General features: G+C 37.7%; 1 protein-coding gene across 7 annotated transcripts in view; it reads left to right on the top strand.

Moving 5' to 3' along the window:
• ADAM9 (ADAM metallopeptidase domain 9) overlaps positions 1–23,413 on the top strand; it is a 108,289-nt gene that overhangs the window by 46,949 nt on the left and 37,927 nt on the right. For all 7 annotated transcript variants that reach the window (NR_027638.2, NR_027878.2, NR_027639.2 and 4 more), the window contains exons 13-14: positions 10,560–10,652; positions 11,656–11,851. Coding sequence is in view for 3 of the 7 variants with exons in the window: in NM_003816.3 (NP_003807.1) it covers positions 10,560–10,652; positions 11,656–11,851 (289 nt within the window). In the remaining 4 variants the exon portion in view is untranslated. The remainder of the gene's footprint in view (positions 1–10,559; positions 10,653–11,655; positions 11,852–23,413) is intronic.

Below are 23,413 nucleotides of genomic sequence, written 5' to 3' on the forward strand. Positions count from 1 at the left end.
CCATTTTAAATCAGGTTATTAGTTTTTCATTTTTTGCTATTGAGCTGTAGCTCTTCCTGTATATTTTGAAAGTTTACCCCTTATGGTTTGCAGATATTTCCCCCTATTCCATAACTTGGCTTTTCACTCTGTTGATTGCTTCCTATGCTGTGTAGAAGGTTTTTAGTTTGATATAGCCCCACTTGTCTATTTTTGGCTTCTGTTGCCTGTAATTTTGGCATCATATCCATGAAATCATTGCCAAGACCAATGTCATGAAGCTTTTCCTCTATGTTTTCTTCTAAGAGTTTTACTGTTTCAGGCCTTATGTTTAAGTCTTTAATCCATTTTAAGTTGATTTTTGTGTATGGCGTAAGATAAGGTTCCAATTTCATTCTTTTGCATGTTGATATCCAGTTTTCCACGGGGGAAGGGACTACCTTTTCACCATTCTTTTTCTTAGCATCCTTGTTGAAGATCAGGTGATCTCATATGTGTGGGTTTTTATTTCTGCATTCTTTATTCTGTTCCATTGGTCTATATGTCTGAATTTTATTTTATTTTAGATTCAGGGGGTACATATGTATGTTTGTTACATGGGTATATTGTATCCTGGTGGGGATTGGGCTTCTGGTGTACCCATTACCCAAACAATGAACATTGTACCTTATAAATAATTTGTCAGCCCTCACTCTCCTCCTACCCTCTCCAGCCCTCACTCTCCTCCTACCCTCTCCTCTTTTGGAGTTACCCAGTGTCCATCACCTCCATCTTTATGTCCATGTGCGCGCATTGTTTAGCCCATGCTTATAAGTGAGAATATGCAGTGTTTGATTTTGTGTTTCTGAGTTAGTTCACTTAGGATAATGGCCTCCAGCTCCATCCATGTTGCTGCAGAGGACATGATTTCATTCTTTTTTATGGCTACATATAGTATTCCGTGGGGTGTGTGTATGTGTGTGTGTGTATACATACATATATATGTATATATATGTGTGTGCACACATACATATGTATGTATATATGTGTGTGCACACATACCTATGTATGTGTATATGTGTGTGCACACATACCTATGTATGTGTATATGTGTGTGCACACATACCTATGTATGTGTATGTGTGTGTGCATACATACATATGTATGTGTATGTGTGTGTGCATACATACATATGTGTGTGTGCATACATACATATGTGTGTGTGCATACATACATATGTGTGTGTGCATACATACATATATGTGTATATATGTGTATACATACATATATGTGTATATATGTGTATACATACATATATGTGTATATATGTGTATACATACATATATGTGTATATATGTGTATACATACATATATGTGTATATATGTGTATACATACATATGTATATGTGTGTGTACACCTATACATGTGTGTGTACACCTATACATGTGTGTGTACACCTATACATGTGTGTACATACATATAGGTGTGTGTACATACACCTATAGGTGTGTGTACACACACCTATATGTGCGCGTGTGTACACACACCTATATGTGCGCGTGTGTACACACACCTATATGTGCGTGTGTGTACACACACCTATATGTGCGTGTGTATACATATGTGTGTGTACATACATATATATGTGCATATGTGTGTATATATGTGTGTGTGTATATGTGTGTGTGTGTATATATATATATATATAAAAGATTTTTCTCATCCAGTCGACTGTTGATGGACACTTACATTAGTTTCATGACTTTGGTATTGTGAATAGTGCTGCAATGAGCATATGAGTGCAGATACCTTTTTTACATAACGATTTATTTTCCTCTGGGTAGATACCCAGTAGTGGAATTGCTGGGTCAAATGGTAGTTCTAGTTTTAGTTCTTTGAAAAATCTTTATACTGTTTTCCATAGAGGTTGAACTAATTTACATTCTCACCAACAATGTATAAGCATTCCCTTTTTTCTGCATCTGCACCAAGATCAGCCTTTTTTTTTTTGACTTTTTAATGATAGCCATTCTGACTATTGTAAGATGATATCTCATTGTGGTTTTAATATGCATTCTCTGATTTTCAATGATGTTGAGCATTTTTTCCTGTGTTTGGCAGCTGCTTGTATTTCTTCTTCTGAGGAATGGATTTTATTGAATCTGCAGATCACTTTGGGTAATATGGACAATTTACCAATTTTAATTATTCCAATCCATGAACATAGGATGTCTTTCCATTTATTTGTATCATCTTTTATTTCTTTTAGCAATGTTTTGTAAGTTTTTAGTGTGTGATCTTTTTCCTCACTTGTTAAGCTTATTCACAAATGTTTTGTTTTCAATGCTATTGTAAATAGCTTTGTTTCCTTAATTTCCTTTTTGTAGTTCATTGTTAGTATGTGAAAATGACCTTATTTTTGTGTGTCAGTTTTGTTTCCTGCAACTTTACTGAATTTATTTATTAGTTATAACAAGTTTTTTGATGGACTCTTTGGGATTTTCTATATGTATGATCATGTCATCTTAAAAGAGGGACAGTTTTGCTTCATTTCCGATTTAGATGCCTTTTAGTTTTTCTTGCTAATTGTTCTGGCTAGGACTTCCAATACTAAGTTGAATAGAAGTGGCGAGATTGGGCATCCTTGCTTCATTTCTGATCTCAGAGGAAAAGCTTTTTGTTTTTCACAACTAGGTATGATTTTAGCTATGGGAATTTCATATATGGCCTAATTATGTTGAAGTTATTTTCCTTTATTTCTAGTTTGTTGAGAGCTTTTTGCATGAAAGGGTGTAGAATTTTATCAAGTGCTTTTTCTGTATCTATTGAGATGATCATGCTATTTTTATCCTTCATTTTGTTAATGTGGTATATCTCATTATTTAATTAATTAAATTTTTTTTTTTTTGAGACAGGGTCTTACTGTTGCCCAGGCTGGACTGCAGTGCTGTGAACACAGCTCACTGCAGCTTTGACCTAATGGGCCCAAGTGATCCTCGTGCCTCAGCCTCTTGAGTAGTCGGGACTACAGGCATATGCCACCATGCCTCACACATTTTTGTATGTTTTGTAGAGAAGGGGTTTTGCTACATTGCCTAGACTGGTCTCGAACTCCTGGACTCAAGCAGTCTGCCTGCGTAAGACGCCCAGAGTGCTGGGATTACAGGTGTGCACCACTGCACCTGATCTCATTAATTGATTTTTGTATATTGAGCCTTAATTGATTTTTGTATATTGAGCCATCCCAATTTATACCCAAGGATAAATTCTACTAGGTCATGTTGTATTTTACTTTTAATGTGCTGCTGAATTTGGTTTGCTAGTATTTTGTTGAGGATTTTGCATCTGTATTTGTTTGGCACATTGGCCTGTAGTTTTCTATATTTGGCATATTGGCCTTGGTGATACAGTCTGCATCAGGATAATGCTGGCCTCATAAAATGAGTGGAATTTTCTCCTCCTCCTCTATTTTTTGGGTGAATTTTTAGAATGATTGGCATTAGTTCTTTAAATGTTTGGTAGATTTCACCAGTAAAGCCATTGGTCCTGTGCTTTTCTTTGCTAGGAGGTTTTTGATTACTGATTCATATCCTTACTACTTATAGGTCTGTTCAGACTTATTTCTTTATGATTCAGTCTTGGTGGGATGTGTGTTTCTAGGAATTTATCCGTTTCTTTTAGGTGATCCAGTTTGTTGATGTGTAAATGTTTATAGTAGTCTTTTATAATTCTTTTTATTTATGGCATCAGTTGAAATGTCTCCTTTCTCATTTCTGATTTTGAGTCTTCTCTTTCTTTTTCTTAGTGTAGCTAAGATTGGTTAATATTGCTTATCTTTTGAAAAATACTAACTCTTGGTTTTGCTGATTTTTCAATTCTTTTTCTAGTCTCAATTTTGTTTATTTCTGATCTGAAGTTCATTATTTCCCTTATGATAATTTTGGGTTTAAATTTTCTGTTGCTTTTCAGATTTCTTGGGTTGTAAAGTTAGGTTGTTTATTTGAGTTTTTTTTTTTAATATAGGTTATCACAGCAAGCTTTCCTTGTATTTTTTTTTTTTGACAGAGTCTCACTGTGTTGTCCAGGCTGGAGTGTAGTGGGGCAATCTTGGCTCATTGCAACCTCCACCTCCTGGTTTCTAGTGATTCTTGTGCCTCAGCCTCCTCAGTAGCTAGGATTACAGGCGCGCACCACCATGCCTAGCTAATTTTTGTATTTTTAGTAGAGATGGGGTTTCGCCATGTTGGCCAGGCTGGTCTCGATCTCCTGATCTCAGGTGATCTACCCGCCTTGGTCTGGGATTACAGGCGTGAGCCACCACATCTGTCCTCCTTTTAGTATTATTTTTGTTTTATTTCATAAGTTTTTACATATTGTGTTTTTTGTTTGTCCAAAAGTATTTTTTAATCTTGTGTTTGATTTCCTTTTTGACCCAATGGTTGTTCCACAGTGTGTTGTTTAATTTCCACATATTGGTGAATTTTCCATTTTCCTTTCTGCTTTTATTGTTGTCTTTTTCTATTCTAATTGCTAGTTTCATCCATTTTGGTCAGAAAATATATTTGGTATGATTTCAGTCTTCTTAAATTTCTGAAGACCTGTTTTGTGACCTAAAATGTGAGCCTGGAGAGAGTTCCATGTGTGCCTGAGAATAGTATGTATTCTGCCACTGTTGGGTAGAATGTTCTGTATATGTCTATTAGTTTGATTTGGTCTGTAGTGTTGTTCAAGTCCTGTGTTTCCGTATTGATCTTCTATCTAGATGTTTTATCCATAATTAAAATGCAGTCTTGAAGTTTCTTACTATTATTGTGTTGCTGTCTCTTTCTTTCTTCAGTTTTGTCAGTGCTTGCATTACATATTTAGGTGCTCTAATGCTGGGTGCATATATATTTATTATTGTTATATCTTCCTAGTGAATTGTTACTTTTATCATTATAAAATGTTTTTCTTTGTGTTTTGTGACAATTCTGACATAGAGTCTCTTTTCTTTGATACAAATATAGGTACCCCTGCTCTCTGTGGTTACCATTTGCATGGAATATCTTTATCCATTCTTCACTTTCAGCCTATATATGTCCTTAGAACTATAGTGAGTCTCTTGTAGATAGCATATAGTTTTTTTTTTTTTTTTTTTATCCATTCAGTATGCTATGTGTTTTTGTTGGGGAGTTTAACATATTTACATTTAAAGTAATTCTTGATAGGGAAGGATTTACTGTGATTGTTTTAAATGTTTTTTGTTTGTCTTGTAGCTCTTTTGCCTGCCCTTTCTTGCTGTTTTCCTTTGTAATTTTTTGATTTTGTGTGTGTGTTGATAATTCTTTTATCCCTATTCCTTTTTCTTTTGTGTAACTTCCTTCTATAGGTATTTGTTTATGGTTACCTTAGAGCGTGCATAAAATATCTTGTAGTAATAACAGTATTTTTAAGCTGATAACAACTTAACCTCAATTACATACAAAAACTCTTCACTTTAAGTTCTCCCATTACACAGTTTATGTTGTTGTTACAGTTTACAATCTATTAATATTGTGTATCTTCCAACATATTTTTTATAGTTTTTTTTTTTTTTTTTGAGATGGAGTTTTGTTCTTGTTGTCCAGGCTGGAGTGCAGTGGTGCGATGGCTCACTGTATCCTCCGCCTCCTGGGTTCAAGTGATTCTCCTGCCTCAGCCTCCCAAGTAGCTGGGACTACAGGTGCCTGCCACCACGCTTGGCTAATTTTTGTATTTTTAGTGGAGATGGGGTTTTACCATGTTGTCCAGGCTGGTCTCGAACTCCTGACCTCAAGTGATCTGCCTGCCTCGGCCTCCCAAAGTGCTGGGATTACAGGCGTGAGCCACTGCGCCCGGCCTATAGTTACATTTTATACTTTTTCTTCTAAATTTACACTAGAAGTGAAAGTGATTTACCCAGTACCATTAACAGCAACACAGTATTTTGCATTTGTCTATATATTTATTCTTACTAATTAATTTTATACTTTCTTATGCTCCTGTGTTGCTGTCTAGCAGTCTTTCATTTCAAGGTGCAGAACTCCATTTCACATTTCTTAGAAGAAAGGTCTAATCATGATGAACTTCCCTGCTTTTGTTTTTCTAGAAAAGTCTTAATGTCTTCTTCATTTTTAAAGGATAGTTTTGCCAGATATAGGATTCTTTCTTGGCAGTTTTTTTCTTTCATTACTTTAATATGTCACCTCATTAACCTTCTGGCCTGCAAGATTTCTGCTGAAAAATCCACTAATGGCCTGATGGGGGTTCCCTTGTATGTGATGAATTGCTTTCTTTCTTACTGCTTTCAAAATTCTCTTTGTCTTTTGATAATTTGATTGTAATGTTTCTTGGTGTTGATTTCTTTAGATTCTTCTTACTTAAGGTTCTTTGGGCTTCCTGCATCTGGACGTCCATTTCCTTCCCCAGATTTGGGAAAATTTCAACCACTACCTCTTTGAAATAAGCTTTTTGGTACTTTTTCTTAGTCTGCTCCTTGTGGGATTGCCACAGTGTGTATATTAGTCTCTTGATGGTGTCTCATAAGTCCCTTAAGCTTTCTTCACTTATATTTCTTTTTTTTTTTTTGCTCCTCTGACTTGATAAGGTAACCCGACTTTGAGTTTGTTGAATCTTTATTCTGTTTGCTCTGATCTGCTGTTGAACTCCTCTGTTGCATTTTTCCATTAAGTTGGTGTATTCTTCAGCCCCGAAATTAGTGAGAAGACCTTCACTAGTTAACCTGGCCAGAGCTTTTTTGGGCCTCTCAAACTTTCATGTTTGTTATACTGCCTTTTCTATTGTTGTTAGCGCTCAGTGTCTACAATATGCTGGAGCCTATCAGTGTTCTGAGAGGGGAGAAAGAAGTGAATTTGTTGGGCAATCCCTAGAAAAGTTGGAACATGTGACATGTGGTCCAACAGTTTCTCTTTCCAGGGAAAAGCTTGGAAGTGTTTTTTTTTTTTTTTTTTTTTTTTTAATCACTATGTTAAACTGGGTAGAGGAACTGTGGCGAGTGTCTGAGTGATAGTTTGAACAACCACCTTCATTCTTTGTAGCCTTCAGGGGTCTAGCACATACCAGCTCCATCTGTGCTCTGAGAGAGGAGAGGGAAAAGCCAATTTCTTGGGTAGCTCCTAGAAAAATTGTAGCGTTGGATGTGTGGTCCTCCTTTGGGAGAAGCTAGGAGCTGTGGCAAGTGCCCACATGCTAGTTTAACCTACTACCTTTGTTCTCTGAAAACCCCAGGGATCTAATATATTCCAGGTCCTATATGTTGTCAGAGGCAGATGAGATAGAAGGTAGTCCCTCAGGAAGCACTCTAAAAAACTGTAATATTGGATGTGTGGCCCAACTCTTTCTCTCCTCAGGGAGATGCTGAGAGCTGTTTCCTCCTGATCTTATATGACGCGTCATGAGTTGGGATTGCGGCGAGAAAGGATCTCCAGTTTTCCTACTGGTTTCAGTGTGGCTGGTTTTACAATTGCCTGGGATGTAGTAGCCTCTCAACTAGTTTCTGGATTTCTCACAAAGGGAATTGATTAGTGTGTTACTGTTGAATTGCTGACTTTTTATAGGAGATTTGTTAGCCTCCAATAAAAGTTAAAATGTACATGCTTTTAGATCTAGTAATTCTACCTTTATGTAACTATCTTAGAGAAATATTTGTGTATATACACATGGGGAGTGTACAGGGATGTTTATTGCAGCACTGCCTGTTGGAGGAAGGAGAATCCAGAGCTTTCTATTCTCCCATTTTGGTGATGCCACTCTGGCTTTTATTTTTGTGCATAAATAAAATCAGACTTAATATTGTTTAAAATTGACTTAAAATCTCTTGTGTGCAGATTTTTTTCTATTACGATATCCTGGACATTTTTCTGTATCATTTTATTATGTAGACATAGCCCTTTAATTTGCTGAATAGTATTCCAATACAAGGATTTACTATGATTTATTTAACCATACTCTCATTAATTACTGTAATTAGTGTTTTCTATTGTAAACAGTGCTGCCGTATACATCCTTGTACACACCTCATGTGTATATATACAAACATACACACCTCATGTGTATATATACAGATATACACACGTCGTGTATATATACAAATATTTTTCTATGATAGTTATTGTACATAAAGGTAGAATTATTGTATCTAAAAGCATGTACATTTTAACTTATATCAGAAGCTAATGAATTTCCTATAAATAGTGTGGGTCAGTTTGCATTTCTGACAACAGTATATTATGCCATTGTGTACCCATAGTCTTACCAGCACAGGATAATATGTTTTCTTAATTTTGGCAAGCTGATGGGTAAAAAATAAGAAGATACTGTTTTAGTTTACAGTTTTTCATGTGATTGTAGATTATAGGCATCATTTTCTTCTATGAATTATTATTTTATGTATTCCTTATCAGTTCTGTTGGTTCATTAAATCTTCTTTTAAATTGATTTTTAGACCTCTTTCTATAAGATGGACATAACTCCTTTGTTATATATGTTCTAATATTCTTTATTTATAGCTTATTTAACTTTTCATAGGTTACATTTTATGTTGAAATTTAAAATTTAAATGAAGGCAAACTTACTAATTTTTTTCCTGTAATGGTTTCAGAAATTTGTATCTTGACCTGGTTTTTAGTATTCCTATATATAGATCATCATCATAGCCCCTCTACAAATTATTTTAGTTTTTTTTAAATTTAAAATTTTTATGTTAACTCTTTTAATTGAGGAGGGGGCATGTGGAGTAAGCTTGGAAATTAAACTTATCCACTAATGATCAGTTGTTGTGGAACCATTTAAAATGGTTCTTTTACGATAACCTAAGTTCCTATATACATTATCTATTTCCTGATTCCCTATTCTTTCATGAAGCCAACTGTCCTGCAGTGTTTTTGAACTGGCCAGCATTCACCTTCAAATCTTTATGTGAACTTATGTTTTTAATACTGTTGGGTAAATGTCCCGGAGTAGAATGACTTGGTTAGATGGTAGAGGTATTTAACTTTTCAAGAAACTCTCAAACTGTTTTCTAAAGTGATTGTTCCATTTTTCATTTCCATCCTTAGTGTATGGGAGTTCTAATTGTTTCATATCCTGACCAATACTTCGTGTGGTCAGTGTTTTTAATTTTAGCCATTCTATTGAGTGTGAGGTGGTGCCTCATTGAGGTTTTAATTTGCATTTCCTTAGTAACTAATGATGCATTGAGCATGTTTTCATGTGCTTTTTTGCCATCAGGCTATCTTATGGTGATATGACTGTTCAACTCTTTTCCCTCATTTAAAAATTTTGATTACTTATTGTTGAGTTTTGAGAATACTTTGTGTATTCTGTATACAAGTTCTCTATCAGATTGTCAATATTTTTTCCAAGTTGTAGCTTGCCTTTAATTAACTTAGCAGTATATTTTGAAGAGCAGAACTTTTTCATGTTGATGAAGTTTATTTTATAAACTTGTAATTTTATCGGTTGTTCTTTTGGTGTCCTATCTAAGGACTTCTTGCCTGCTCCACAGTTGCAAAGGTTTTCTCCTAGAAGTTTTATAGTTTTAGGTTTTACATTTAGTTCCATGATGCATTTTGACTTTTTTTGGGTATATTTCAAGATGTACATTAAAGTTCATTTATTTTAAAATGTTTATTATGAAATAATTATAATCTGAAAAGAAGTTGCAAAATAATATAGAGTCCTGTGTACTTTTCACCCAGTTTTCCTTAGTGGTGACATCTTATAAAGCTGTACCACAGAATACAAAACAGAACATTGACATTGCTATTTTAACAGAGAAGATGTCTCTGTGGGTGGGAGTTTGGGGGTAAGAAGGAGCCATGGTGGCCCAGAGTATAGTGAGAGAAGCCAAGCAAGGTAAAAAAGAGTGTTCAGCTAGGGTGAAGAGCCATCCAACAGAGAAGTTAGACCCTGAGCATGAAGATAAATGCCTTTATGGACACTGACCTCTCTGTGATCATCAAACATACTGTTATGAACTGAATGTTTGTGCTTCCCCAAAACTCATGTGTTGGAGCCAGCCACCAGCATGGCTACATTTGGAGATGGGGCCTTTAAGGAAGTAATTAAGGTTAAACGAGGTCATAAGGATGGGGCCCTGATCCACTAGGATCAGTGTCCTTGTAAGAAGAGACACCAAACATCTCACTTGCCGTCTCTCTGCACACATGCACTGAGGAAGGGCTATGTCAGCACACAGCAAGAAGGCAGCCCTCTGCAAGCCAGGAAGAGAATCCTCACTAGAAACTGAACTAGTAGGAACCTTGATCTTGGATTTCTAGCCTCAAGAACTGTGAGAAAATAAATTTCTGCAGTTTAAACCTGTGGTATTTTGTTATGGCATTCTGAGCAGACTAAGTAAGGCACATACTATATGATTTCTGTCCTTTGAAATATGTTGAGACTTATACTTGCAGCTGAAGAGACATTGTTAAATCCAGAAACAGTAAGCAACTGTTTCTGGAGGGTAACTGCTACAATCATGTTAGAATGAAGTAGATTTTAGGTGTAAGATGAGAATTTTATTAATGAGTATTCATGTCAATTACTAATTTCTTTATTGACAGTCATTTTATGTTCACAGGAATGTGAATTGGACCCTTGCTGCGAAGGAAGTACCTGTAAGCTTAAATCATTTGCTGAGTGTGCATATGGTGACTGTTGTAAAGACTGTCGGGTAAGGAATTCCTCCCTTTTGGAAACAGGAAAAAAAAAAAAAAAAAAAAGAAAACCTGTGTATATCAAAATTTGTTTTTTGAGATTTCTGAGTCAGCACTATTTTTATTTTATGGTCATGGGAAAAATTTTATGCCACTTGTGTATAATTTTAAAGCACACTCTTTTACGTTAAGTGGTCTGTTGATATTGTTTTCTAAGTAGAAACATTTTTTTTCTGATTTTTAGAGTAACATATGCCTGTTAGAAATAATTAAATAACATGAAACCATAGAAAGTAGAGAATGAAAGATCCTCTATTATTTTATACTCTTCAGGTAACCACTGTTGATAATTTGTTAATATAATCACGTTTTTTCTATACAAATGTGAGTGTATGTGTGTATGTGTGTTTTTAAGTGGGTAAGCACAGATACATATATTTTTACTACCTGCTTTTTTCAATATGACACCATGGACTTTTTTCCCATTCATGTAGTTCTATAATACATGGTTATTTAAGTAATATTACTTGTATAGTTGTACCATAATTTCTTTAGTCAACTAATGATGGACATTTTGATTACTTCCAGTTACTGCTTATAAGAGAAATCACTGGTGCAGAATATTCATACTAAGTTTTTGATATACATTTTATATATCTTTCACACATATGCCAATCTATACTTCTACCAACAGTATTATCAAATACTTGTTTCCTTATGCCAATATTGGGTACTAGCAGGCACTATACTCCTAGTTAATTCAATAGGTGTAAAGGGTTCTTGTATTTTTATTTAGTTTGCATTTCTTTTGGTTACAAATGAGGTCATGTTTCTTTACTTTCCATAGTTAGGACTTACATGAATTACCTGTTGTTAGCCATTGTTCATTTTTCTGTTGGGTTATTTAATCTTTTGCTATTGTTAGAATGCTTTATAGATGTAAATGCTGTGGTTTCACATTTGATTAATTTGTGGACATTATCCTGATATTTCTGTTTAATTTGAATTCTATTTCACTAGTTCCTTCCAGGAGGTACTTTATGCCGAGGAAAAACCAGTGAGTGTGATGTTCCAGAGTACTGCAATGGTTCTTCTCAGTTCTGTCAGCCAGATGTTTTTATTCAGAATGGATATCCTTGCCAGAATAACAAAGCCTATTGCTACAACGGCATGTGCCAGTATTATGATGCTCAATGTCAAGTCATCTTTGGCTCAAGTAAGATATCATCATTTATAATTGATTGCTTCGATATTATTTATTTTTGATTTAGATATTTTAAAAAAGGTAATGAAACATTATTGATAAAGTTGAGGCTCTCTTGTTTCTCATCGTATTTCCTTTCTTCTTTGGAGGCAGTCATGATCATGAATTTAATATGCACAGATTCAGTTGATGTTTTCTTATTTTTACTGTCTATATCTTTTTATATTTTGTGTATCACGCACACACACAGATACATATATAGTATCTAGTTTTAATAATGTTGAATTGTGCACAAGGATCTGCTATTTGCATTGTTCACTCAGAATTTTCTTGAAATTCATCTATATTGATATATTTATATTATAGTACATTAAAGTATTCCATTAGATGAATGGATCATGATTTAGTTATTCTCTTACTGATAGATATTTGGGATTTTTAAAAAATTTATGTATTTTTTCTTTTAAAAGTTCTTATTTTTATCAAGGGCATACATATAAAGAGCCAAATTATTGTGTAATGCATAGTATGAACAAATAAGGACTGTTCCCACCCACTATTCCCATCACTTGAGGCAGTTTTACCTTTTTTGGCTAAGATTTTTGTTAACTTGTGCTAGGTTTTTAGATAATCTCTTGGCAATGCGACGTTTTGATTTTTTTGTTCTAGGCATTAGTTATTAATTTCTCACTATAGAAGATGAGTTAGTTTTCTTTCCTTCTCTTCCTTCAACCCTTAACAACTCCCATCATACCTATGCTGATTTTCCATTCTTCATCCTCCCAATAGTTAGGGCAGTGATGACTGTGTATTGTATAATGGCCACATTAATGCTCTTCACAACTAAACTGTATAGTAAGTTATAATTACTTGCCTGATTTCTCTAGAGTTACTAATTCTGTCTTTCTGTTTCTCTCTCTCTCTTTTGGTTTGGTTAATTTCCTATGTACTTTCCATTAATTGACCTGTATATTGTTAACCATTGGCCTGATTGTGCCTTGAGTTGATTAGTGGCATCAAGTATTCTATTTATTTCAATTTGTTCAAATAAGTCTGAACAGAAGGCCTCTGTTCCTCTTCAGTCTTGACTGGTTTCCCTCTGTATAGTTAGTTAGGGTTCTCTAGAGAAATGGAACCATTGTGTTGTGCGTTTATGTATACAGTCATATACCGCATAACAACATTTTGGTCAGTGAGAGATTGCATATACAACAGTGGTCTCATAAAATTATAATGCTGTATTTTTACTGTAACTTTTCTATGTTTAGATATGTTTAGATACCTTTTCTATGTTTAGATACGTTTAGATGCCATTGTGTTACCATTGCCTACAGTATTTAGTACAGTGACATGGTGTACAGATTTGTAGCTTAGGAGCAATAGGCTGTACCACATAGCCTAGATGTGTAGTAGGCTATACCACCTAGGTTTGTTTAAGTGCACTCTGTGATGTTTGCACAATGACAAAATCACCTAACAACTCATTTCTCAGATCATATCCCTGTTGTTAAGTGACACATTACTGTAGATATTACTGTATATATAATCTGGAGGAATTATTACGTGAATCTAATATTTATATATAATATATAATTTACATATAATATATTAAATATATAATATCTTATATATGTATTACATGAAAATCAAATATATTCTCCTGGAGGAATCTGATATATTAGATTCATGTAATAAATCCTGCGTAATAGCATGAGCCCATATATGAATTGGCTTGTGTGATTGTGGAAGCTGCTAAGTGTCAGATCTGCAGGGAGAGTCAGCAATCTGGAGACCCTGTAGAGCTGATGGTATAGTTCCAGTTAGAAGTCTGGCAGGCTCATGACCATGGAAGAGCTAGTGTTTCAGTTCAATTCCAAAGGCAGGAAAAAAGCTGATGTCTCATTCCAAAGGCCTTCAGGAAGACTTTTCTCTTACTTGAGGGAGGACTGGCCTTTTCGTTCAAGTTTAAAATTGATTGGATGGGGCCCACCTCCAATAGGGAGGGCAGTCTGCTTTACTCATCCTACTGATTTCAATGTTAATCTCATCCAAAATCACCCTTACAGAGACATCCGTAATTATGTTTGATTAAATATCTGGGGATTCTGTGGCTCAGTCAAATTAACTCTACTAAAAAGGGTAAAATTAACCCTCATCAAAAATCCACTCCTTGTCAGCTTGAAACCCATAGACACCTTAAACCATACCAAATCTCCAAATGTGGACCTTGTTAAGGGCATAATTCCACCTAGCATGATATAATAACACTATCCTGCATGCAACTAAAACCTCACTAACCTCTTTTCCAGAAAAGGAGGTAAAGTGATGTTTATTCTTCTTCTTGATATCCCATAACTTAAATACTGGGATATAAAATTAACAATACTTAAATGCTATAATATCAAGTCAATATGTCTTATGCTGCATGATAAAGGTATAAGGAATGAGAACATATTTGCTCAGTACGTGTGTGTGAATGCACACACACATACACACATGCAGCTATTCTTAATGAAACAGTCTTCGTTTCTGCAACTGGTCATGTGGTTGTAGCTGGTATTTATAACTAACTTCCACCCATTCTGTATTCCCTTTGCCTTCAGCAAGCACGTTAGCTGTTTGTGGTTCTTTACCTGTTAGGGTGACCCAAACTGTCGTTCTTGAAGGGTCTGGGCCATTTGTAGTCCTTCCTAGATTGGGTTGTTAAAGTTTTCCATTGAACTTAAACTTAATCATGAAGCATGGTAATACTAAGAGATGCCCTAAGGGATCTCCGGCATTCTAGACATACTCTTCCTTGCCTCCATTTTGGAGTAGTAGGCCAGTTTCCCTTTGGTGGTTCGGATCAGTAATTCTACCTGGCATAGAAACTGCCTTCTTTGCCTGTTGACTTGGAGGTATGAGGAGCCAATGTGGCTGGGCCTCTGGCTTAATTTCTAGTTCAGTAGAATCATTATTGTGGCTCCTGGTGGCAGCATTCCTCCTTTTGGAACTAAGGCCTCTAGTCCAGTAGAGCATAAGGTCGTGGGAACAGGAAACAAAATTTTGCTAGTGGGTCACTATGGATAATGGTGAGTGGTGTTTCTCCCATTTCCACCCCTTGATACCTGGACACGTGAATCCTGGTTATGGGAAAATCAGCATTGGATGTTGGCTGCTGATTGAGAGCATATACAGCCTTTTGGAGAACCTTGCCCCAGCACTGTAAGGTATTGCTACCTAGTGGCACTGTAACTGAGTCTCCAAAAGGCATTTCCACCATGCTGTCAGCCAGCTGCTTCAGGATGGTGGGGAAGGAACATGGTAAGGCCAGTGAATTCCATGTGCATGGGCCCATTGCCTCATTTCATTTGCTATCAAGTGAATTCTTTGGTTTGAAGCAGTGCTGTGTAGAATATTATGATGGTGGGGGAGGAATTCTGTATGTCCACAGAAGGTAGTTTTGGTAGTTCACAGGAGTGTTGCTACAGAGATGGCAAATCTATATCAAGAGTACGTGTGTCTGTCCCAGTAAGAACAAAGCACTGCTTCTTTCATCATGGAAAGGGAAAAATGTAATCAACCTGCCACCAGGCAGCTGACTGACTAACCTAGGGAATGGTGTCATACTGGGGACTCAGGATTGGACTTTGCTACTGGAGAATTTGGGCACTTAGCAGCAACAATGCCAGGTCAGTTGTTGAGAGGAAGTCCATGATGCTGAGCCCACGCATCGCCTCCAACCCTGCCACTGTGAGTACGTGGTTCCTGAGCCCATGGATGAGAATAGTTGGCTGGGGAAAGAATGAGTCATCCTATCTACTTGATTATTAAAATTCTCCTCTACTGAGGCCACCCTTTGGTGAACATTCACATGGGACACAAATATCTTTGCCCTACAACCCAGTCATGGGCCATAGCCCATAAATTGGTGTATAATCACGTCTGGCTGTTTCTTCTCCCAAGGAAAGTGAACAACCAGGTGCACTTCAGGGATGTCCCAGAAAGGGGCTGCAGTGCTACAGTCATCCACTTTTGGTTCTTCATATCATATCATGTGTAGAACCATCTGCAAACCAGGTCTCCGTCTTCTTTTCTACTGTCACCTGATGGGTAGGAAGTTCCCCGTGAGGTCATAGTTGCTGGCTAGGAGAGAAAATGTAGTGTAGCAGGAGTGGGGAGCAGGGGCATGTGGGGCACTTCTTTATGTAACTTGTGCCTTCCAGGCCTTGGTTTGGCTCAATTACATACGTAGCACTTCCATTTCATGATGGGGTGCTGCTGCATATGCCCAGCTTTATAGCTTGGTGAGTCAGATGACATCCAGTTTATCATGGGCAACTCAGGTTGAATGGTAACTTGGTGGGTGGCCCATGGTTAAATGTTCAATTTCTACTTTAAGGCCCAGTAGCAGGCCAATAGTTTTTTCTCAAAAGGAGAGTAGTTATTCGCAGAGGATCACAAGGCTTTGCTCCAAAATCCTAAATGCCTGCACTGCACCTGACCTATAGGGAACTGTCGGAGGCGCTAAACAGCATTTCTGTCTGTAACTGCTGCTTCAAGCACTGTTTGATCTGCTTGATCAAGTGGGCTAAGCAGCAGAGCATCTTGCCTGACAGCCTGGACCTATTGCAGAGTTTCTCTTTGTTCTGGGCCCAGCTCAAAACTAGCAGCTCTTTGGGTCAGTGGGTAAATGGGCCAGAGTTATGCAACCAAATGAGGAATATTTTGCCTTCAGAAATCCAAATGGACCTCTAAACATTGTGCCATTCTGTTGGTTGTGGGAGTGGCCAGATGCAACTTCTTCTTCCCCTTAGAAAGGATATCTTGACATGTCCCACACCACTGGACATGTAGAAATTTCACTGAGGTAGAAGGCACCTGAATTTTTGTCAGATTTATTTTCTACTTTTTGTCGTGCAAATATCTTGCCAGTGACAAGAATAGTTGCTGTTTCTTGCTCACTAGGTCTAATGAGCATAATGTTTTCAATGACTAGTGTGATATTTTGTGGAAGGAAAAGGTAATCAAGATCCCCAAAACTAAATTATGACATGGGGCTCCAGAGTTGATATTCTTCCTAAGTAGGACAGTGAAGGTGTATTGCTGGCCTTGCCAGCTGAAAGCAGCTGCTTCTGGTAGGCTGTGTGGATGGGTATAGGTAAAGGTTTTTTCAGATCACAGCTGCATACCATGTATTAGGGGATGTGTTAATTTGCTCAAACAATGAAATACATTTGGTATAGCAGCTTCAGTTGGAGTCACCACTTAGCTAAGCTTATAATAATCCACTATCATTCTCCAAGATCTGTCTGTCTTCTGCACAGGGCAAATAGGTGAATTGAATGGAGATGTGATGAGAGTCCCTGCCCCTGCATCTTTCAAGTCCTTGATGTTGACACGAATCTCTGCAATCCCTCCAGAGATGTGGTATTGCTTTTGGCTTACTATTTTCCTAGGTAGAGGCAGTTCTAGTGGGTTCCACCTGGCCTTTCTTACCATAATAACCATCACTCCACAGGTCAGGGAACCAGTGTGGCAATTCTGCCAGCTGTTGAGTGTGTCTGTTTCAATTATGCATTCTGGAATTGTGGGAAAAAACCCACAAGGTGGGTTCAGGGACCCACTAGGCCTGCTGTGAGATGGACCTGAGGTAAAACTTCATCTATCACCTGACCTTCATAAGCCCCTACTCTGACTTCTTGACCACAGTGACATTTTGGGTTTGCTCAATTATTTCAGATATAGGGTTCTGTGTTCCTGAAAGGTCGAATTTTTTTCTCAGTGCACAGTGTCTTAGTCTGATCAATTCTGTCTCAGTCTATTTTGTGCTATTATAACAAAATGCCACAGACCGGGTAATTAATAGTGAACAGAAATTTATTGGCTTCTGGAGGCTGGGAAGTCCAAGATAAAGGTGCTGCCATCTGATGAGGGTCGTTTTGCTGAGCCATCACATGACGGAAGGTGGATGGGCAAGAGACGAAGTGGGGCCAAACGCACCCTTTTATAACAATATTAATCTTATCCCAGAGGGCAGAGCCATCATGGACTAATCACCTCTTAAAGGTCCCACCTCTTAATGCTGTCACAATGGTAATTAAATTTCAACATGAATTTTAGAGGGGACAGACATTTAAACCATATCTGGCTGCTCTAACAAGATATACTGTAGACTGTGTGGCTTAAATGGCAGACACTTATTTCTCAGAGTTCTGGAGGCTGGGAGTCTAAGATCAAAGTGCCAGTCAATTTGGTTCTTGGTGAGGGATCTCTCTTTTCTTCTTATAAGATCGCCAATCCCATCATAAGGGTCCCATCCTCATGATCCCACCTAACTCTGATTACCTCCCAAATGGCCCATCTCCAAATACCATCACTTTGGGGTTAGGGCTTCAACAGATGAATTATGGGATACACAAACATTGAAGGGGTACACAAACGTTCAGTATATAACCATTGCCCTGGTAAAAGCCATAGGTCCCTTGGAAATGTCTGGGATAATGATTAATAGTATAAATTTTTGGCATTGTATGGGAGGGTTCTTCCTTAAAGAAACTTACCCTGCCTTTAGTTGAGAGTTTCTGTTTCTGTAAACTGGCTCAACTCAAGGAATTGATTAAGAGGCTGTGACTTTCTGTTTTTATGATTCAAATTAGACTTTTGTTTACTTGGCCTAGAGTTTTCTTATTTGGTACAGGTCAAGTAAGACTATGGGAAGCTGCCTATCTTGCTTCTACTTAGACAGAAACAGTGTGATCAACTAGCCAATGCCGTAAGTTTTTACATGGGTCAGGTTATTCTGATTGCTGCTTTGACTCTGCTCTCCATTATGGTAACCTTGGCTCTCCATTATGCCAACCTTGGCTCTCCATTATGCCCACCTTGCCTTTGGTGGTTGAATGTTGACACTTTCCTATCACCTAGAATCTGATACTTTCATTGCATTTAAGTTTCCCAACTCAGTGGCCATAGCTCCTACTATAAGGTCTGCCCTTTAGATAAGAGTGATCACAGAGCTTTTCAAGGATGCTAGGCCTCCCCTTACAAATTTATTTCTTACAGTCTTGGTGAAAGGTGTGTTTTCTGGATTCTTCCAGGGTGGGTAAATACATCTTAAGTGACAAATCGACTCAAACATTTTAGTCTCCCTCAGACTTTGAATCCCTTTCTCTGCATTAAACTGAGATAGGCCCTGCATTCCTGACTTGCTCACTGTGAGCTGCCTTTTGATTCACATTTCAGCCAACCAACCGAACAAACTGTTAGAGACCTTTCTAACTCCCTGAATGGCAACATTCAATGCAGACTGTCTGCTTCGTGAGTCCTCACCAATGAATTCATCCCAATCCAACTTTATGTTCCTCCCACCATTATCTCACGCCCTTAATATCCATTCCCACACATGTTCCCTGGATTTCTGTCTGTGTAAATTAGAAAACTCAAGTAGTCTTGGAGTGTGGTGAACCTCCTCATGGGTTGTATTTAGTATTTCACCTTTAGGGGCATTTTCTATGACTTGAGTCTAGTTATAGGTTTAGAACCAATGAGATATTTTGGAGGTGGATCCTGAGGGAAATTGGCATTATCTTGCATGGCAGCTGCCTCCAGGGAGGCTATTACAGTTTCCTCAGGCAATGCAGGGTTAGTCCCCTCAGATGTTGGAGACGCTGTTTCCACTGGCAAAGACGACTCATCAGAATTTAGAGGCTCAGCCAGGCGCCTGTAATCCCAGCACTTTGGGAGGTGAGGCAGGCAGATCACTTGAGGTCAGGAGTTTGAGACCAGCCTGGCCAACATGGCGAAACCCTGTCTCCATTAAAAACACAAAAATTAGCCAGGCATAGTGGTGCACTCCTGTAGTCCCAGCTACTTGGGAGGCTGAGGCAGGAGAATCGCTTGAACTTGGGAGGTGGAGGTTGCAGTTAGCTGAGATTGTGCCACTGCACTCCAGCCTGGGCAACAGAGCAAGACTCTGTCTCAAAACAAACAAACAAGAAAAGAAAGAGTTTAGAGCTCAGTGTACCCAGCTTTATCAAAGTCTCCCCACATGTCCTCATTTCAACTTTCAAGATCCAGTTCCTTATTGATCAATAACCTCAATTTAACAGTAGATACCCTACAAGGCTAGGAGTTCAATTTGCTTTCAGCCAGTCACAGGATAAGATTCTAGGTTTGATTTTCAACAATCTCAGCTCTGCAACTACCGGCGATATGGCTGTCCTTTAGGGCACACACAGAAAATTTCAGGTCACTTATATGGTGCTTGAACTAGGAATCCCTGCGCTTATCATCTTCTTTCCCTACTTTGTCCAGTAAAATAAGGAGCAACCAGGCAATCTCATACTGTTAGTATGAGAAAAATGTTTGAAGGCATCATATACATAGTTACCCAGATCCTTGCTTCTTGTAAATGTCTGATTAGGAGTCTCTAGTGTTGATATGTTTTTGGACTGCAATTACCATATCATGCCGTGAACTATCAGTGCTACGTTAACTTTTGGAAATAGAGTCATAAGTGTCTTTAAAAATCTAATCAGATTAGATAGCCCATTCTAGAAACCTTGGAATCAATTCAGAAAACTCATTCTCAAAGTTCTGTTCCTCTGGAACCACTGTTGGTCCAAAATCTGAATTAGTTAGACTGCAGAGAAACAATATCAATTGGATATATACATATTATATATATGTTTATTCATTTATTATAAGCAATTGGCTCATGCGATTATGGTAAGCAACTGAAAATCCCAGATTTGTAGGATGATTTGGCAAGATGGAGACACAGGAGAGATGATGGTTTAGTTCCAGTCCAGATTTGAAGGCCTGAGAACCAGGATTGCCAATAGTGTAATCAGTATTTATCCTGAGATCTTTCACCATAATCTGAAGGCGAATCATTGGCTCTCTCCCTTTTGAATCTCCTGTTTGCATTTCCCATATTACCTTCTTTCTTTGTTTATTTCCTCCTTTCATGGAGCTTTCCTTTCGGTAGTTTCCTTAGATAAGGTGAATTAGAGGTAAATTTTTTGAGATCCTGCAAGTGTGAAAATGGTTTTATTTGGACTAAATACTTGATTGATGGGGATGGAAATCATTTTCTGTCACAGTTTTGAAGGCATTGCTTTATTGTCTTCCAGTTTACAGAGTTGCTGTTGGAAAGTCTGAAGCCATTCTGATTTTTATACCTAGCTTTTCCCTCACCCCCTCTGAAAAAGCTTGGAGAATGACCTCTTCAAGGTGATATGCCTTGATGTGGGTTTGTTTTTATTCACCGTGCTATGTAATTGGTGGGTACATTCAATCTGGGAACTCATTTTTTTTAGTTCTGGAAATTTCTTCCCTTTCATTTTTTTGGTGTGATTTCTTTTCCTGGATCACATATTATTTGGATATTGGATTTACTAGATTTCCTTGGATTTTGGATTTCCTGGATTTTCTTATCTTTCCTGTCTTTTTATCTGTGTTTTTTTTTGTTTTTTTTTTTTGACCTACTTTCTGAGCAACTTCTTCAACTTTATCTTCTAACTCTTTTATTGCGGTTTTCATTTCAGGCACTATGATTTTAGTTTTCAGAAACTCTTTTATATTCTCTGAGTTTTTTTCCCACTTATTTTTAAGAAATAATCTATTCTTGGCCAGGCGCGGTGGCTCACGCCTGTAATCCCAGCTCTTTGGGAGGCTGAGGTGGGCGGATCACAAGGTCAGGAGATTGAGACCATCCTGGCTAACGTGGTAAAACCCTGTCTCTACTAAAAATACCAAATAAAAAAATTAGCCTGGTGTGGTGGCAGGCGCCTGTATTCCCAGCTACTCGGGAGGCTGAGGCAGGAGAATGGCGTGAACCCGGGAGGCGGAGCTTGCAGTGAGCCGAGATCGCACCATTGCACTCGAGTCTGGGCGACAGTGCGAGGCTACATCTCAAAAAAAAAAAAAAAAAAAAAAAGGACATAATCTGTTCTTATTTCATGCACGAAACATCTCTCATGTTTGTCAGTATGTTAATGATAATTTTTTTCTTTTTTTTAAATATATTTTAAGTTCTAGGGTACATGTGCACAACGTGCAGGTTTGTCACATATGTATACATGTGCCATGTTGATATGCTGCAGCCATTAACTCGTCATTTACATTAGGTGTATATCCTAATGCTATCCCTTCCCACTCCCCCCACCCCATGACAGGCCCCGGTGTGTGATGTTCCCTTTCCTGTGTCCAAGTGTTCTCATTCTTCAATTCCAACCTATGAGTGAGAACATGCGGTGTTTGGTTTTTTGTCCTTGGGATAGTTTGCTGAGAATGACGGTTTCCAGCTTCATCCATGTCCCTACGAAGGACATGAACTCATCCTTTTTCATGGCTGCATAATATTCCATGGTGTCTATGTGCCACGTTTTCTTAATCCAGTCTATCATTGATGGACATTTGGGTTGGTTCCAAGTCTTTGCTGTTGTGAATAGTGCTGCAATAAACATACGTGTGCATATGTCTTTATAGCAGCATGATTTATAATCCTTTGGGTATATACCCAGTAATGGGATGGCTGGGTCAAATGGTATTTCTAGTTCTAGATCCTTGAGGAATCGCCACACTGTCTTCCACAATGGTTGAACTAGTTTACAGTCCAACCAACAGTGTAAAAGTGTTCCTATTTCTCCACATCCTCTCCAGCACCTGTTGTTTCCTGACTTTTTAATGATCGCCATTCTAAATGGCGTGAGATGGTATCTCATTGTGGTTTTGATTTGCGTTTGTCTGATGGCCAGTGATGATGAGCATTTTTTCATGTGTCTGTTGGCTTCATAAATGTCTTCTTTTGAGAAATGTCTGTTCATCTCCTTTGCCCACTTTTTGATGGGGTTGTTTGATTTTTGTTGTAAATTTGTTTGAGTTCTTTGTAGATTCTGGATATTAGCCCTTTGTTAGATGAGTAGATTGCAAAAATTTTCTCTCATTTTGTAGGTTGCCTGTTCACTCTGATGGTAGTTTCTTTTGCTGTGCAGAAGCTCTTTAGTTTAATTAGATCCTATTTGTCAATTTTGGCTTTTGTTGCCATTGCTTTTGGTGTTTTAGACATGAAGTCCTTGCCCATGCCTATGTCCTGAATGGTATTGCCTAGGTTTTCTTCTAGGGTTTGTATGATTTTGGGTCTAACATTTCAGTCTTTAATCCATCTTGAATTAATTTTTGTATAAGGTGTAAGGAAGGGATCCAGTTTCAGTTTTCTACATATGGCTAGCCAGTTTTCCCAGCACTATTTATTAAATAGGGAATCCTTTCCCCATTTCTTGTTTTTGTCAGGTTTTTCAAAGATCAGATGGTTGTAGATGTGTGGTATTATTTCTGAGGGCTCTGTTCTGTTCCATTGGTCTATATCTCTGTTTTGGTACCAGTACCATGCTATTTTGGTTACTGTGGCCTTGTAGTATAGTTTGAAGTCAGGTAGTGTGATGCCTCCAGCTTTGTTCTTTTGGCTTAGGATTGACTTGGCAATGTGGGCTCTTTTTTGGTTCCATATGAACTTTAAAGTATTTTTTTCCAATTCTGTGAAGAAAGTCATTGGTAGCTTGATGGGGATGGCATTGAATGTATAAATTA

Source organism: Homo sapiens, chromosome 8 (genome assembly GCF_000001405.40).
Source record: "Homo sapiens chromosome 8, GRCh38.p14 Primary Assembly".
NCBI lineage: Eukaryota > Metazoa > Chordata > Mammalia > Primates > Hominidae > Homo > Homo sapiens.